Here is a 17,591-nt window from a genome sequence, read left to right as displayed (position 1 = left end):
GACATTTCTTAACACCTATCGCTTCACAATGTTTTTAGCAACTATTTTCTCATGTATTTCTGTTTCCAATTTTATTGAGAACCTACTTCCAGTTACATCCTTTACTTGAAGATTTAGCAAATATTTTCCAGACTTTAAATATTTTATGTTTTGTAGGCCGTAAACAGTTTCTGTAGTTCCCCTTTCTCCTCCTTTTTCTTTTTCTTCAAGAACCCTTTCAAAATGTAAGAATCATTCTTAGCTCACAGGTCATACAAAAAGATCTATGGGCCATTTTTTTGCCCATCACTGATCTATTTCTTTACTGAGTAGAAAGCAAATATTTGAGTAAATCACTTCTGTAAAGGAATTGGTCTCCCTAATTTTTTTTTTTTTTTTTACTTTTCTACAATTTTTAATTAACATTCATCCAGAGAGATCCTGTTAAAACCTAAATCAGATTGTATCACTCAAACCTCTATAATGGCTTGCTCAAAGCAAAAGCCAAAGTCCTCTAAATGCCTCCAAACCCCTAGCAACCCATGTTCTCCGTTTCCTTGCTGACATCATTTCCTTCTCCTCTCCACTCTGATCCCTCTCTCCCTCACACACTGGTGCCCTTTCTGTTCCCTAAATACTCATGGACATTCTTGCCTCACAGCCTTCCCATTTGGCTGTTCGCTCTGCCTGTAAGGCTCATTTCCCAGATATGCACATTATTGTTTCCTGGAACACCCTCAGGCTCCTTCTTAAATTTCACCTCCCCCATAATTTCAAGTTGCAACCTCCCCCCACCATCTAACAGTCTTTATCTCCTTTCCCAGTTTTCTACTTCGCCCTAGCAATTATCTGATGTACTATTTATTTTACCCATCTATTTTTATTTATATATTTATGTATATGTTTATAAGATTATTCATTTATTTATTTTTGTGTCCCCCTCCAACTACAAGGTGAAGATATTTATCATTTTTTGTTTATGGCTATATTTCCTCAATGTACCTGTGAAACATACCAAAGGGCAGTACCTGGCATTTGGTAGGGGATTAATAAATTATCTTGAATGACTAAATGTATGCACCGATTAGTAAATGAATCCCCATAGTGTCTGAATTGAGGACTAGTGTGAAGAAGAAGGCAGCATGGTTGGGACAGGGTACTGCAAGAAGCAGTATTTGGAGTTCTATGTTTGTAAATATATAGGGTGTTGTTCATTTAGGTAATTTTAATGGAGTCTGGAACTATTTGAGGGAGACACAATCACGATTTTTCATAGTGCATTCTACAGAATTCATTTTAAATATTTGTAAATATTGGAAATACATGCATGCATATACACCTCTATTGAGTTTATTATAAGAGCCCCCTGAGGTAGAGACAGCAAGTATAAGTATCTTTTTTGTTTGTTTTGTTTTTGAAAATTGAACAATCATTCTTTATTTAAAAAATAATCTCAGCAAACTAGGGATACAGAGAATTTCCTCAACCTGTTGAAGGGCATCTTTAAGATATCTACTGCTAACATCCTATGTAATGATGAAAGACTGAATACTTTCCCTTAAGACTGAGAATAAGACAGAGATGTCAGTTCTTACCACTTCTATTCAACATTGTACTGGAAATTCTAGCCACTGCAATCATTTTTTAATTGGGAGTGGGGAGAAAGAGGGAGGGAAGGAGAATAATAAAAGGCCTTTAGATTGAAAATAAATAAGTAAAACTGTCAATTCACATATGTGATCATCTATGTAGAAAACCAAATAAAATCCATTACCAAGTTACTGAAACCAGCAAGTGAGTTTTGCAACACTGCAGGATGTATAACTGATATACAAAAATCAATTGTGTTTCTATATGTTAAAAGTAAACAATTAGGAATTGAAATTTTTAAAATAATACTATTTTCAATAGCATTAAAATATAAAATTCTTGGGAATAAACCTGACAAACTATGTGGAATATCTGTACACTGATAACTAAAAAGCATTGCTAAGAAAAATTAAAGAAGACCTAAGTAAATATCTTGTTCATAGGTTGAGAGACTCAACATTGTTATGATGTTCATTCTTTTCCATACTCATCTATAGATATAATGCAATTCCCATCCCAAGCCAAGCAGGCTTTTTTTTTTTTTTTTGTAGTAATTGAAAACTGGTTTTAAGATTCACATGGCATGCAGATGATCCACAAGATCCACAATAACTCTCCTGCTGTGTAGCCTGGTTCCTAACAGGCCTTGGACCTGTCCGTGGCCTGCAGGTTGGGGACCTCTGCTATAGAGGATCCAGATTTAAATTTAGAGGCAGCTTCATCTACTTCTGTAGTTTCATTTTCTCGTGACATCCGTTGCATCAAACTTGAACTTCACAGGATTTTCTGAAGCCACTCAATTTGGTCATCTTAGTTTTTAATTGTATTTTTTGACTTGGAATTTTCTATGTCAAGCTTTTGTACGTGGCGTTGCTTCTCCTTACTACGTCTTATAGTCACTGTAAGTTGATCCTGTATTTCTTTTATTTATTTATTTATTAATTTATTATTATACTTTAAGTTTTAGGGTACATGTGCACAATGTGCAGGTTAGTTACATATGTATACATGTGCCATGCTGGTGCGCTGCACCCACTAACTCGTCATCTAGCATTAGGTATATCTCCCAATGCCATCCCTCCCCCCTCCCCCCACCCCACAACAGTCCCCAGAGTATGATGTTCCCCTTCCTGTGTCCATGTGTTCTCATTGTTCAATTCCCACCCAAGAGTGAGAATATGTGGTGTTTGGTTTTTTGTTCTTGTGATAGTTTACTGAGAATGATGATTTCCAATTTCATCCATGTCCCTACAAAGGACATGAACTCATCATTTTTTATGGCTGCATAGTATTCCATGGTGTATATGTGCCACATTTTCTTAATCCAGTCTATCATTGTTGGACATTTGGGTTGGTTCCAAGTCTTTGCTATTGTGAATAATGCTGCAATAACCATATGTGTACATGTGTCTTTATAGCAGCATGATTTATAGTCCTTTGGGGATCTACCCAGTAATGGGATAGCTGGGTCAAATGGTATTTCTAGTTCTAGATCCCTGAGGAATCGCCACACTGACTTCCACAATGGTTGAACTAGTTTACAGTCCCACCAACAGTGTAAAAGTGTTCCTGTTTCTCCACATCCTCTCCAGCACCTGTTGTTTCCTGACTTTTCAATGATTGCCATTCTAACTGGTGTGAGATGGCATCTCATTGTGGTTTTGATTTGCATTTCTCTGATGGCCAGTGATGATCAGCATTTTTTCATGTGTTTTTTGGCTGCATAAATGTCTTCTTTTGAGAAGTGTCTGTTCATGCCCTTTGCCCACTTTTTGATGGGGTTGTTTGTTTTTTTCTTGTAAATTTGTTTGAGTTCATTGTAGATTCTGGATATTAGCCCTTTGTCAGATGAGTAGGTTGAGAAAATTTTCTCCCATTTTGTAGGTTGCCTGTTCACTCTGATGGTAGTTTCTTTTGCTGTGCAGAAGCTCTTTAGTTTAATTAGATCCCATTTGTCAATTTTGTCTTTTGTTGCCATTGCTTTTGGTGTTTTAGACATGAAGTCCTTGCCCATGCCTATATCCTGAATGGTAATGCCTAGGTTTTCTTCTAGGGTTTTTATGGCTTTAGGTCTAATGTTTAAGTCTTTAATCCATCTTGAATTGATTTTTGTATAAGGTGTAAGGAAGGGATCCAGTTTCAGCTTTCTACATATGGCTAGCCAGTTTTCCCAGAACCACTTATTAAATAGGGAATCCTTTCCCCATTGCTTGTTTTTCTCAGGTTTGTCAAAGATCAGATAGTTGTAGATATGCAGCATTATTTCTGAGAGCTCTGTTCTGTTCCATTGATCTATATCTCTGTTTTGGTACCAGTACCATGCTGTTTTGGTTACTGTTGCCTTGTAGTATAGTTTGAAGTCAGGTAGTGTGATGCCTCCAGCTTTGTTCTTTTGGCTTAGGATTGACTTGGCGATGCGGGCTCTTTTTTGGTTCCATATGAACTTTAAAGTAGTTTTTTCCAATTCTGTGAAGAAAGGCATTGGTAGCTTGATGGGGATGGCATTGAATCTGTAAATTACCTTGGGCAGTATGGCCATTTTCACGATATTGATTCTTCCTACCCATGAGCATGGAATATTCTTCCATTTGTTTGTATCCTCTTTTATTTCCTTGAGCAGTGGTTTGTAGTTCTCCTTGAAGAGGTCCTTCACATCCCTTGTAAGTTGGATTCCTAGGTATTTTATTCTCTTTGAAGCAATTATGAATGGGAGTTCACTCATGATTTGGCTCTCTGTTTGTCTGTTATTGGTGTATAAGAATGCTTGTGATTTTTGTACATTGATTTTGTATCCTGAGACTTTGCTGAAGTTGCTTATTAGCTTAAGGAGATTTTGGGCTGAGACAATGGGGTTTTCTAGATATACAATCATGTCGTCTGCAAACAGGGACAATTTGACTTCCTTTTTTCCTAATTGAATACCCTTTATTTCCTTCTCCTGCCTAATTGCCCTGGCCAGAACTTCCAACACTATGTTGAATAGGAGTGGTGAGAGAGGGCATCCCTGTCTTGTGCCAGTTTTCACAGGGAATGCTTCCAGTTTTTGCCCATTCAGTATGATATTGGCTGTGAGTTTGTCATAGATAGCTCTTATCATTTTGAAATACGTCCCATCAATACCTAATTTATTGAGAGTTTTTAGCATGAAGGTTGTTGAATTTTGTCAAAGGCCTTTTCTGCATCTATTGAGATAATCATGTGGTTTTTGTCTGTGGTTCTGTTTATATGCTGGATTACATTTATTGATTTGCATATATTGAACGAGCCTTGCATCCCAGGGATGAAGCCCACTTGATCATGGTGGATAAGCTTTTTGATATGCTGCTGGATTTGGTTTGCCAGTATTTTATTGAGGATTTTTGCATCAATGTTCATCAAGGATATTGGTCTAAAATTCTCTTTTTTGGTTGTGTCTCTGCCCGGCTTTGATATCAGGATGATGCTGGCCTCATAAAATGAGTTAGGGAGGATTCCCTCTTTTTCTATTGATTGGAATAGTTTCAGAAGGAATGGTACCAGTTCCTCCTTGTACCTCTGGTAGAATTCGGCTGTGAATCCATCTGGTCCTGGACTCTTTTTGGTTGGCAAGCTATTGATTATTGCCACAATTTCAGATCCTTTTATTGGTCTATTCCGAGATTCAACTTCTTCTAAATGCTCCAATTAAAAGACACAGACTGGCAAATTGGATAAAGAGTCAAGACCCATCAGTGTGCTGTATTCAGGAAACCCATCACACACATAGGCTCAAAATAAAAGGATGGAGGAAGATCTACCAAGGAAATGGAAAACAAAAAAAGGCAGGGGTTGCAATCCTAGTCTCTGATAAAATAGACTTTAAACCAACAAAGATCAAAAGAGACAAAGAAGGCCATTACATAATGGTAAAGGGATCAATTCAACAAGAAGAGCTAACTATCCTAAATATATATGCACCCAATACAGGAGCACCCAGATTCATAAAGCAAGTCCTGAGTGACCTACAAAGAGACTTAGACTCCCACACATTAATCATGGGAGACTTTAACACCCCACTGTCAACATTAGACAGATCAACGAGACAGAAAGTCAACAAGCATACCCAGGAATTGAACTCAGCTCTGCACCAAGCAGACCTAATAGACATCTACAGAACTCTCTACCCCAAATCAACAGAATATACATTTTTTTCAGCACCACACCACACCTATTCCAAAATTGACCACATATTTGGAAGTAAAGCTCTCCTCAGCAAATGTAAAAGAACAGAAATTATAACAAACTATCTCTCAGACCACAGTGCAATCAAACTAGAACTCAGGATTAAGAATCTCACTCAAAACCGCTCAACTACATGGAAACTGAACAACCTGCTCCCGAATGACTACTGGGTACATAACGAAATTCAGGCAGAAATAAAGATGTTCTTTGAAACCAACAAGAACAAAGACACAACATACCAGAATCTCTGTGACGCATTCAAAGCAGTGTGTAGAGGGAAATTTATAGCACTAAATGCCCACAAGAGAAAGCAGGAAAGATCCAAAATTGACACCCTAACATCACAATTACAAGAACTAGAAAAGCAAGAGCAAACACATTCAAAAGCTAGCAGAAGGCAAAAAATAACTAAAATTGGAGCAGAACTGAAGGAAATAGAGACACAAAAAACCCTTCAAAAAATTAATGAATCCAGGAGCTGGTTTTTTGAAAGGATCAACAAAATTGATAGACCGCTAGCAAGAATAATAAAGAAAAAAAGAGAGAAGAATCAAATAGACGCAATAAAAAATGATAAAGGGGATATCACCACCGATCCCACAGAAATACAAACTACCATCAGAGAATATTACAAACACCTCTACGCAAATAAACTAGAAAATCTAGAAGAAATGGATAAATTCCTCGACACATACACCCTCCCAAGATCCTGTATTTCTTGAAATTGACTTCTCATCTGGCCTAATTTCTTCCTTGAATCCTGCATCTCACATTCTAGATGGACGCAGTGACACAATGAAGCATCCAGCAGAGCTTTTGTTGTTGATTGTTTGTTTAGAATATCATCCTGTTTTTGTTGAAGTTGTCTCACAACTACTCTTTCTTTTTCTCTTTCATATTGACATTGTTTTTCTTTCAAATGATTAAATTCATTGATCAACTTCTTATAATCTTCTCCTAGCAAAAGACAGTGCTTTCTGCACTCAGCTTGAAGGTTTTGTACTCTAACATCACATTTGGCTTGAATATCAATTATTGTTTTTTCTTGATTGTCAGATTTGTTGTGAGCATCATCCAGTTACTGTTGAAGTAACATATTTTGTCTTTGTAGTTGACATAATTTTATTTGCTTTTCTATGCATTTTTCTACTTTATCTTGGCCATCTTTGTACATTTTTTTCAGTGTCCTTCATTTGACACTGTGTTTGGTTTAGCTCTCTTTGTACGTGTTCAAAAACCAAAGCCTTTTCTTTCAGAGCCTCTATTGTGTAATGGAGCGCAGTTTCGAGGCCCCCGGACTTACTCTCAGCTTTAGGAAGTTGCTGAGAAAGAATCAGAATATGAGAATTCAAATTTTCCTGTAAATGACACAATTTATCTACTGTGTAAGTATCTTTCTTTTACAGATGAGCTTAACTTGCTGAAGGCTACATTACAATTTTGTTATAAATGTAATACTAGACTGAGAGTTTTTCAGCAGATCTTCCCTAGAAACCTGTGACTTATAAAAGTGATACTAGTAACCCACAAAGATTTATTCAGCTTTCAACAGTACATACACTACAGACTCAATTATAGCCCATCCATTTAAATGAATGGAAAAAATTATTTAGCACAAAACCAAGAGAATATTAAATGCTATACTATATTAATATTAGTAATGGGAAATAGGCTCCATCCCTTCTAACATAATTTGAGCCCATCATATCCACATTATGGTCATGGTGATAGTAAGGCTGCCCTTCTCTGTCTCTAGAAGAATTCTCATATAATTGTACTTATTGAAACAGACAAGGGACACTGGGTAATTAAGAGTTTGTCAGCTTGATTTTTCCAGAAGTCTTGCCTATAAAGCAAAGATAGTTGGTCTGGATACTCTCAGCTACAAAGAGGTTGTCAGGTTCTTAATTTTCATGGTGAATGAAGTGAGCTTATTTCATCTCCGTGGCCTCCCATATACCTATATTCAGTCTCTGTTCTATGTTTGGAAAGAATGAAGTAGAAATTAAAAATCAAGAAAAGCAAATGATAAATGATACATGGGATATTTTATTGATTTACATCAGTGTATGTAGATGTATGCATGTCTGCATGAATGCATGTAGAACTCAATGTGATCTAGTTGAAAAATTTATTTTGTTTTAGAGTTGTATGTTGGGTTGGAGCCTTCAAGGTACCAGAAGAAAATAACTCAACTATCCTATTAGAAACTACAGTCCTCATACACTTTTATTTACCAGTTCTGCTCATCTACAGTATCAGAGTTCTGTATCCTACTTCATTTTCAGAATTTTCCAAATGCCTCTTAATACTCAGTGCTGCAATTTTGATATTGCCAAACCCTGCACAAGTTACATAGAACAGAAGGATTTTATTTTCTGTTTATGCATCTGTGTTTAGGACTCAATGAAAGAACAATAGAGTGGAATTGAGGAGATCTAGGTTTTTGTTCCAAGTTGGCCAGAAAATAATTGTGGCCCCTTGGAAAAGTCAGTTATTCTGGGGCCTCTTTACTTTTGTTTCCACAGAGTCTACTAGATGACCCCAAATAACATTTGAATTGTCTGCAGTAATAGTTTAGATGTCCTTGGTATTCTAAGATAAATGAACACAATTACACATAAAGCTGTGCAGCATCTCTCACTACGTTTTTAGAGCTTCCTCTATTTTATAGATGATAAGCTGACAGAGATATAGCAGAAGTGAATAATTTGACCAGAGGCTCCATAGTAAATGGAACTAAAACACAAGTTTCTTTCCCTTCTTGAGCTCACTTAGCCAATACATAGGTCGTTGAATATTTAACTGCATTTTAAAGGAGGCTATTCTTAAAGGCCTTCCAACCAACAGCAGGAAGTATTGAAATTCCTGAAAGATCCCTAACTTTGAGAGATTTCCAGCTCTATTTTCATGTCAAGCATGTTGTATAAGTGTTCAGATAATAACTTCTCAATGCTTCTCTGAACTAAAGTTCTGAACCTCATAAGGTTTGCTCCTTGCTGGCTTAAGTTTATCCCAGATATCAAGGAGCAAACCAAGGAGAAAAGAAAAGTTTTCTATTTCAAAATAGAAAAGTGGTTAACTGGGTTTTGATGCCAAATAACTATATGTTTACCTATAACACATTAATTTATTGTACCTACTAATTGTGTTCTCTTTGGGAAACGCAAAAGTATTTGAGGCATAGGCTGTTGGTTTTTTTCTATTTTCTGCAGACTGTAAGCTTCTGCGGTAGAACTATATTTCACTAGCATCTGTAACCAGAACTGAACACAATGTCTATGAAACAGTCAATAAATAAGCAACAGATAAATTGACAGATAGAGACATGACTTTATTTCCAAATGAACACATTATTAAGAAAGATCCAAGGCATAAGCAAAGAGAAAAACTGTATTTCCAGTCACAGAGTTGCAACTGACATATTTATAAATGATACAGATAACAAGTGCTACAGCGATTCGAAAGAGGCATAAAAGTTCTTATTGGATTTCCATAGGATAAACCATGCGAAAAAAAGGGAGAGATGGATTTTGAGTTATTGGTGGGGGGTGGGGTAGTCACAAGCCTAATCTTGATTTTTAAATCAAATTTGCAAAGTGATTATATTACAGGTAAAATAATGAAATAACTCACTATACTGAGACTTGCAGAGTTTATGATGGTTGTCCAAGATACAAAAACAAGTAATTATGGACCAGAATTTTAACCAAGTCCTGATGATCTCAAAACCCCAAGTCCTTTCTCTGTCATTAAGTTGCCTTTGACAGTAATTTTTGGTGGAATGGTAGAAACTGGCTATAGGATGTGGATGGAAAATAATACCATTGAGGACTGGTGAAATATGTATCAGTGGTGCTTTAGAATGAATGGCCCCTGTCCTGTTGTCAATGAATGAGGAGAACTCATTAAATGGTTCAATGAAAAGACTAACTGACAAGAGTGACATTAGCAAAATGGCAGACTAGGAATCTCTAAGCTCTGAAAACACCAAAAACACCAAGGAAGAACCAGAAACTGGCTGAACTAACCTTATAGAAGCTCTGAAAAAAAGTCAAAGATTTACAGCAAATGAATGTACACTCAATCAGGAAAAGGCCACCTTCATATGGTAGGACATTTTAAGGTGTTTTCACCTGCCTTTGCCCAAATTCCCATCTCTCTTCTGTGTTTCATGGTCTTGGCCTGGAAGAGGTGACAGCCCAGCTATCAGTTCTCCCCCTCAAACTGGAGAGAGGGGAGAAGATTTTATCTGCAATGTTCTAAACTGTTCAGGGACTGCTCAAAGGCCTGGTTTCTATTTCGCATAACTCACATCTTAGGTGGTATAAGTACCAGGCTCTGCTTTTGAAAGCCACAGGGAGACTTCAGACCTGATGATGTCTATGACAAAAGATTACAGGTAGAGACATAGAATACACCATCTAAGGCCCTGAGGAGAATCTAGGGTAAGACTCTTTGGAAAATTAGGACGTTTGAGAGAAGTCATGTATATTTTAGAGTTGAGAAGGCCAATTTCAGACCCTGGAAAGATGAATACTCAGAAAATACCTTAAACTTCCACCTTTAGCTGATCCCTAGGCTCAGAGAAAATCCAGCTAATCAGTGAAGTACTGTCCTAGACAGAGTCTGTCTTCAAAAACTGGAAGATGTGTCTGTTTTTCAGATGCTCACTTTTCAACAATTACAACAAATTACAAGGCATGCAAAGAAACAAGAAAACATGACCTACTTAAGGGAACAAAATAAATTGTCAAAAACTATTGATGAGAAAGCCTACAAAAAAGAATGAAAAAAGTCAAAAAAGCTGAAGATACCTGTGGCACCCCATTAAGAGGACCAATATATGCATTATGAGAGTTCAAGAAGGCAGAGAGAACAAAGGGCAAAGGGATTATTTGAAGAAATAATGTCTAAAAATCTCCAAATTTGATTAAAGGTATGAATCTACAAATCCAAGAAGCTCAATAGACTCTATGTGAGCTAAACTCAAACTACACTGAAACACATCATTACCAAACTGTTGAAAAATAAAAACAAGGAAAAAGGAACATGAAAGCAGCAATAAAGAAGTGATTTATCCTGTGCCAATCATCAGCAGTAAGATTATCAACCAATTTATTAGGAAGAAACTTTGGAATCCAATGTTGGTTGGCTAATATATTTAAAGTACTAAAAGAAAAACAAAACTCTAAACTGAGAATCCTATGTCCAACAAAACTGTCCACCAGAATGAGGGAAAAATTCAGACATTTTCAGATAAGCAAAATCTGAGGGGTTTATTCCCACTAGCTCTGCTTTACAAGAAATGATAAGGGGAGACTTTCAGGCTGAAATGGAAGGATGCTACACAGCAACTCAAAGCCAGCCTTTATCAAACTTTTCTAAAACTCAAAGAGCAGGAAATCACTTTCTAGCTTTTCCTGTAGGGCCAGCATTATCCTGATGCTGAAGCCAGACAAAAATGCTACAAAAAAAAAATACAGATCAATAACTCTTATGAAAATTAATGTAAAAAATTTTAAAATTTCAACAAAATATGAACAAACTGAATTCAGCAGCATGTGATTATACACCTATGATCAAGTGGGATTTGTTTCTGGAATGCAAGGATGTTTCAACATATGAAAATTCATCAAATACATCATATGATTTAGCAATTCCACTTCCAAGTATATATGCAAAATAATTGATATCAGGGACTTGAGCATATATTTGTAAACCAATGTTCATAGAAGCATTATTCACAATAGCTAAAAGCTGGAAACTGACCAACTGTCCAATTATGGAATAATGGATCAATAAAATGTGATATATACATGCATACCTTATTTTATTAAACTTTGCATTATTGTGCTTCACAGATACTGCATTTTTTACTAATTGAAGATTTGTGACAACCCTGCATCAAGTAAGTCTATTGGTACCATTTTTCCAATAGCATGTGCTCACTTTGTTTCTTTATGTCACATTTTGATATCACATTTTGATAATTGCCAAAATATTTTGAACTTTTTCCTTACTATTTTATGTGTTATGGTGATTAGTATCAGTAATCTTTGATGTTACTACTATATTAATACTTTTCTAGGTCTGCCATAACAAAACTCAGTTGCCACTCTATATTTGTGGGAAATTGGTTCCAGTACCCCCATGAATACCAAACTCCAGGGATGCTCAACTCTCTTATATAAAGTGGCATAGCATTTATTAGCATAGAACCCAAAAATGCAAAAGCCACAATTACGTTTGCACCAACCTAGTAATTACTTTGGAGCGTCACAAACCTCACCCATATAAGATAGCCAACTTAATCAATAAATGTTGTATGTGCTCTGACTATTCCATGACCAGCAGTTCTGCTATCTTTTCCCCTCTCCTTGGGTTTTCCTATCCTTGAAACACAATAATATGGAAATCAGGCCAATTAATAACCATACGGTGGCTATAAGTGTTCAAGTGAAAGAAAAAGTTACAAGTCTCTCATTTAAATCAAAAGGATTATGCTTAGTGAGGAATGCATGTCAAAAGTTGAAATAGGCCAAAAGCTAGGCTTGTTGTACCAAACAGCCAAGTTGTGAATGCAAAAGAAAAATTCTTGAAAAAAGTGTTACTGCAGTGATAAGAAAGTGAAATAGACTTATTGCTGATATGGAGAAAGTTTTAGTGGTTTGTATAGAAGATTAAACCAGCCATGACATTCTCTTAAGCCAAAGCCTAATCCAGTGCACGTCCCTAAATGTCTTCAATTCTTTGAAGGCTGAGAGAGGTGAGGAAACAGCAGAATAAAAGTTTGAATCTAACACAGGCTTGTTCATAGGTTTAAGGAAAGAAATCATCTTCGTAAGATGAAAGTACAAAGTGAAGCAGTAAGTGCTGATGTAAATCTGCAGCAGGTTATTCAAAAGATCTAGCTAAGATAATTGATGAAGGTGGCTACACTAAACAACAGACTTTCAATGTAGATGAAACAGTCTTCTATTGGAAGATGTCATCTAGGACTTTCATAGCTAGAAGAAGTCACTGCCTGGCTTCAAAGTTTCAAAGGACACAGTGATTCTCTTTTTAGGGGCTAATGCAATTGATGACTTTAAGTTGAAGCCAATGCTCATTTACTATCCAAAAATCCTAGGGCCCTTAAGAATTATGCTAAATCTACTCTGTCTTTGCTCTATAGATGGAGCAACAAAGTCAGGATGACAGCACATCTGCTTACAGAATGGTTTACTGAATATTTTAAGCCTACTGAAGAGACCTATACCTCAGGAAAAAAAAAGATTTCTTTCACAGTATTACTGTTCATTGACAATGCACCTAGTCATTCAAGAGTTCTTGAATGGGGACGTACAAGGAGATTAATATTGTTTTCATGCCTGCTAACACAGCATCCATTCGGCAGCCCATGGATCAAGGAGTAATTTCAACTTTCAAATTTTATTATTTAAGAAATACATTTTGTAAGGCTATAGCTGTCATAGATAGTGATTCCCCTAATGGATCTGGCAAAGTACATTGAAAACTTGCTGGAAAGGACTCCCCATTATGGATGGCATTACGAACATTTGTGATTTATGGAAGGAGGTGAAAAATCAACAAGAACAGTATGGATGTTCTTATTTTAAGACATTGCCACAGCCACCCCAGCCTTCAATAACCACCACTATGATCTGTCAGCAGCCATCAGCATTGAGGCAAGACTCTCTACTAGCAAAGATTACAGTTCGGCCGAACAAGGTGATTCATGCCTGTAATCCCAACAATTTGGGAGGCCGAGGCGGGCAGATCACTTAAGTTCAGGAGTTTGAGACCAGACTGGCCAACATGGTGAAAACCTGTCTCTATTAAAAATATAAAACAATTAGCCAGGTGTGATGGAGCATGCCTGTAATCCTAGCTACTTGGGAGGCTGAGGTGGGAGGATGGATTGAACCCAGGAAGCAGAGGTTGCAGTGAGCTGAGATCCCAACATTGCACTCCAGCCTGGGCGACAGAGACTCTGTCACTTCAACTAGGTGGGAGGGAGGTGGCATCTAGGACCAATCTCTAGTTAACAGAGCTTAAGATTACAGCATCACAGATCTAAATAACCACAGCAGAGTCAAGAGTACTTTTTATCCAAGAATTGGAGAGGTTAGTAGAGTAAGAAGATTCCATTAAGAAGCTCTCATTTAGGTAGACCAGGAAAGAGAATAGAGATGCTTGGAGCTAGTTTAATTTATTTTTTGGAGAGACAGGGTCTTGCTATTCAGCCCAGGTTGATCTCGAACTCCAGGCCTCAAGCAATCCTCTTGCCTTGGCCTCCCAAAGTGCTGGGATAACAGGCATGGGCCACCACACCTGGCCTATTTTAATTTATTTTTATAGTGAACAAAAATATAACACAACAATTCTCCTCATTGCTCTTTAACAGTAAAACTGGAGAAATACAAATGTATTATACTTTGACAATTCATAAACATTATTCAAAGCTTTTTATACATTTCTTGCATTTTGATAACCAGCATTTCTGGTTACAGAGACTTTGCCACAACTTTTTACTGGTGGAAAGCTGTTTAGAAAAGCTTTCTTTCCACCAGTAAGAAAGTGATCTATTAATATTATATAAATTTGATAATTTTATAAGCAGGAACTAAAAAGCCTCCATGGTGATGATATTTTAATCCAAATATCTCTGTTGTCAGCTATGAAAACACAAAAATATAACTGAAATCCCATTAACAATATTAACAATTTTATTGCCTACAAATTTAATTGACTTAGTAGTAGTCTTTAGAAGGGTGATTTTTTTTTTTTTTTGAGCTCTGCCAAGATGGCTGACTACAAACAGCCAGGAAGAGCTTCTCCCATCGGGAGAGACCAGACCATCAGGTAGACTGGCACACTCTGAGCAGATCTGAAAGTAGTTTCTGAATGACTTTTGGGCATTGGGAGTTGACAGAGCGAGGATACAGGCTGCAGGATAAAAGGAGAGATAGCTGGGAAACCTGCATGGGGTTTCTAAGAACTGGCACTCATACCTCACCATTAGCAGCTCCTAGGAAAGGAGCAAGCGAAACAGGTGTGGACTGGCCAACTGTAGCCATGGTCCTCTGGGATTGTAGCTGCAGCAGACCCCATGATCCCCACAGACATCTGAGCTGGTAGGGAGAACTGCCCAGAGAGTTTGCAGAGGCAGAACTCCGGCCTGCACAGAGCCCAGGAGGTTTGGCATGGGAATGGCTGCAGTGGAGAATGGTTATTGGTGCCCATCCTCCAAAGCTCAACATACTCCCCCAGGTAGCTTTAGCTTTTATTAGCTGCTAGATGTGGACAAAGCAGGGCTGTCTTGCCAGTGGGGTGAGGCCAATGTGATCTGAACACCCCTATATCTGTCAGCCTCTCCCAGGGTCCCTGCCTGGCTGCACCCATTAGCAGCACAGCCTCAGCTTGCTAGCGGCCACCACCACAGCTTTTTCACTGACAGACATCACCTACCCATCATAACACTTTTGAAGCTAGATCCCCACCGATCCCCACCAGCATGGACCAACCCACAGCCTTCCTTGTCCTGTGCCCACTCACCCTCAACCTCCCCACAACCAACCCACTGCTGCACATGTGCATGGGGCCAGCCACTGCCCCATCAGCATGCATAGATGCACAGACTTGCAGATGCACATACACCTGCAGATCCATAACCAGTGCATACGCACACAAGGACCCCTGCCACTTTGCTGGCATGTGTATGTGAAGGAGGTCACTACCGCCCCCCTGGGGTGCTTTCGCCAGCAGCCTCCATTGGAATTTTGATGCCAGCAGGCTGGGAACCCCTTAACCCCTCTAGTGCAGCAGGTGCTTAACCTTGAGAGGCCAAATAACAAAGCTGCAGGTGGCCTGATCCCAGCCCCCAAGAGTTAGGGCATGCAGCCCAAGAATGCCAAGATAAAATTTGGCCCCCTGAAAGCATGTAGAAATGATGCCACTTGACTAAACCCAACCCATACCACAGTCAAATGCTTAAAGGCATCAAAGAATACAAAAGCAAAAAGCCTCATCCAAAAGACAACAACTTCAAAGAATAAGGGAACATTAGACCACTCAGATCAAAATGAACCAGCACAAGAACTTTGGCAACTCCAAAAGCCAGAGTATCTTCTTACCTCCAAATGACTGCACTGGCTCCCCAGCAATGTTTCTTAACCAGGCTGAAATGACAGACATAGAATTCAGAATCTTGATGGCAAGGAAACTCATTGAGATAAAATAAGGTTGAAATTCAATCCAAGGAAAACAATAAAATGGCCCAATAGTTTAAAGATGACATAGACATTTTAAGAAAGCACCAAACTGAACTCTTAGAAATAAAAAATTCACTATGGAAATTACAGAATTCAACTTGAAGCATTAATAACAGGATAGATCAAGCTGAGGAAAGAATCTCAGAGCTTGAAATTCCTTTGAACCAGCAAAGGCAGTCAAAAAAAATTGTTAATGATTTTTAAAAATGAACAAAACCTCCAAGAAATATGGAATTATGTAAAGAGATCAAACCTGTGACTCTTTTGCATTCCTGGAATAGATGTGGATGAGAAAGCGATTTGGAAAACATTTGAGGATACTGTCCATGAAAATTTTGCCAACCTTGCTAGAGAGGTTGACATGCAAATTCAGGAAATTGAGAGAAGTCCTGCAAAATACTGTACAAGATGGCCATCCCTAAGACATGTAATCCTCAGATTCTACAAAGTCTACACAAAAGAAAAAATAATACAGGCAGATAGACAGCATGGGCAGGTCACATGTAAAGAGAACACCATCAGGCTAACAGTAGACCATTCCGCAGAAAACTTACAAGCCAGAAGAGATTGGAGTATGTATTCAGCATCCTTAAAGAAAAGAAATATCAACCATGCATTTCATATTCAGCAAAACTAACCTTCACAAGTGAAGTGGAAATAAAATCTTTTTCAGAGAAGCAAATGCTAAGGGACTTCATTATCACCAGTCCTACCTTAGAAGAGGTCCTTAAGGGAGTGCTAAATATGGAAACAAAAAACAGTTCCCTGCTACCACAAAAAAAACACTTAAATACACTGCCAACTGACACTATAAAGCAAGTACATAATCAAGTTTACATAACAACCGGCTAACAACACAACAACAATATCAAATCCTCACATACAAATATTAACATTGAGTATAAACAGGTTAAATGCCCCACTTAATAGGCACAAAGTGGCAAATTGGATAAAGAATTAAGACACTACTGTATGCTGTCTTCAACAGACCCATCTCACATGCAATGTCATCCATAGGCTCAAAGATAAGGAATGGAGAGAGAGCTATCAAGCAAATGGAAAACAAAGAACAGAAGTCACTATTCTTATTTCAAAAAAAAAAAAAAACAGATTTTAAGCCCATAACAATAAAAAAAGACAAAGATAGGCATTACATAATGATGAAGGGTTTAATTCAGTAAGAAGACTCAACTATCTTAAATATATATGCACCCACACTAGAGCACACAGATTCAAAAAGCAAGTTCTTAGAGACCTGAGAAGAGACTTAGATAATGGTACAATAATAGTGGGAGACTTGAACACCACACTGATAATGTTAGACTGATCATCAAGACAGAAAACTAATTAAAATATTTAGGACCCAAACTCAACACTTGACCAAATGGACCTAACAGACATCTACAGAATACTCTACCCAATAACAAGAGAATATACATTCTTCTCATCTGCCCATAGCACATACTCCAAGATCAACCCCACAATCAGCCATAAAAAATTCTCAACAAATTCAAAAAAACCAAAATCATACCAACCACACTCCTG

The 17,591-nt window shown here is 37.7% G+C and overlaps 1 long non-coding RNA gene and 1 pseudogene across 1 annotated transcript in view; both read right to left on the bottom strand.

The window, feature by feature from the left end:
- The window catches only part of LINC01507 (long intergenic non-protein coding RNA 1507), a 210,026-nt gene that overhangs the window by 176,582 nt on the left and 15,853 nt on the right, over positions 1-17,591 (bottom strand). The window lies entirely within an intron of this gene.
- Positions 6,407-7,169, bottom strand: LOC105376334 (ankyrin repeat domain-containing protein 36B-like; annotated as a pseudogene).

This window comes from Homo sapiens, chromosome 9 (assembly GCF_000001405.40).
Source record: "Homo sapiens chromosome 9, GRCh38.p14 Primary Assembly".
Taxonomy (NCBI): Eukaryota; Metazoa; Chordata; class Mammalia; order Primates; family Hominidae; genus Homo; species Homo sapiens.
Note: the sequence above shows the minus strand (reverse complement) of the source record. Positions and strands in the feature narration are given on the sequence as shown.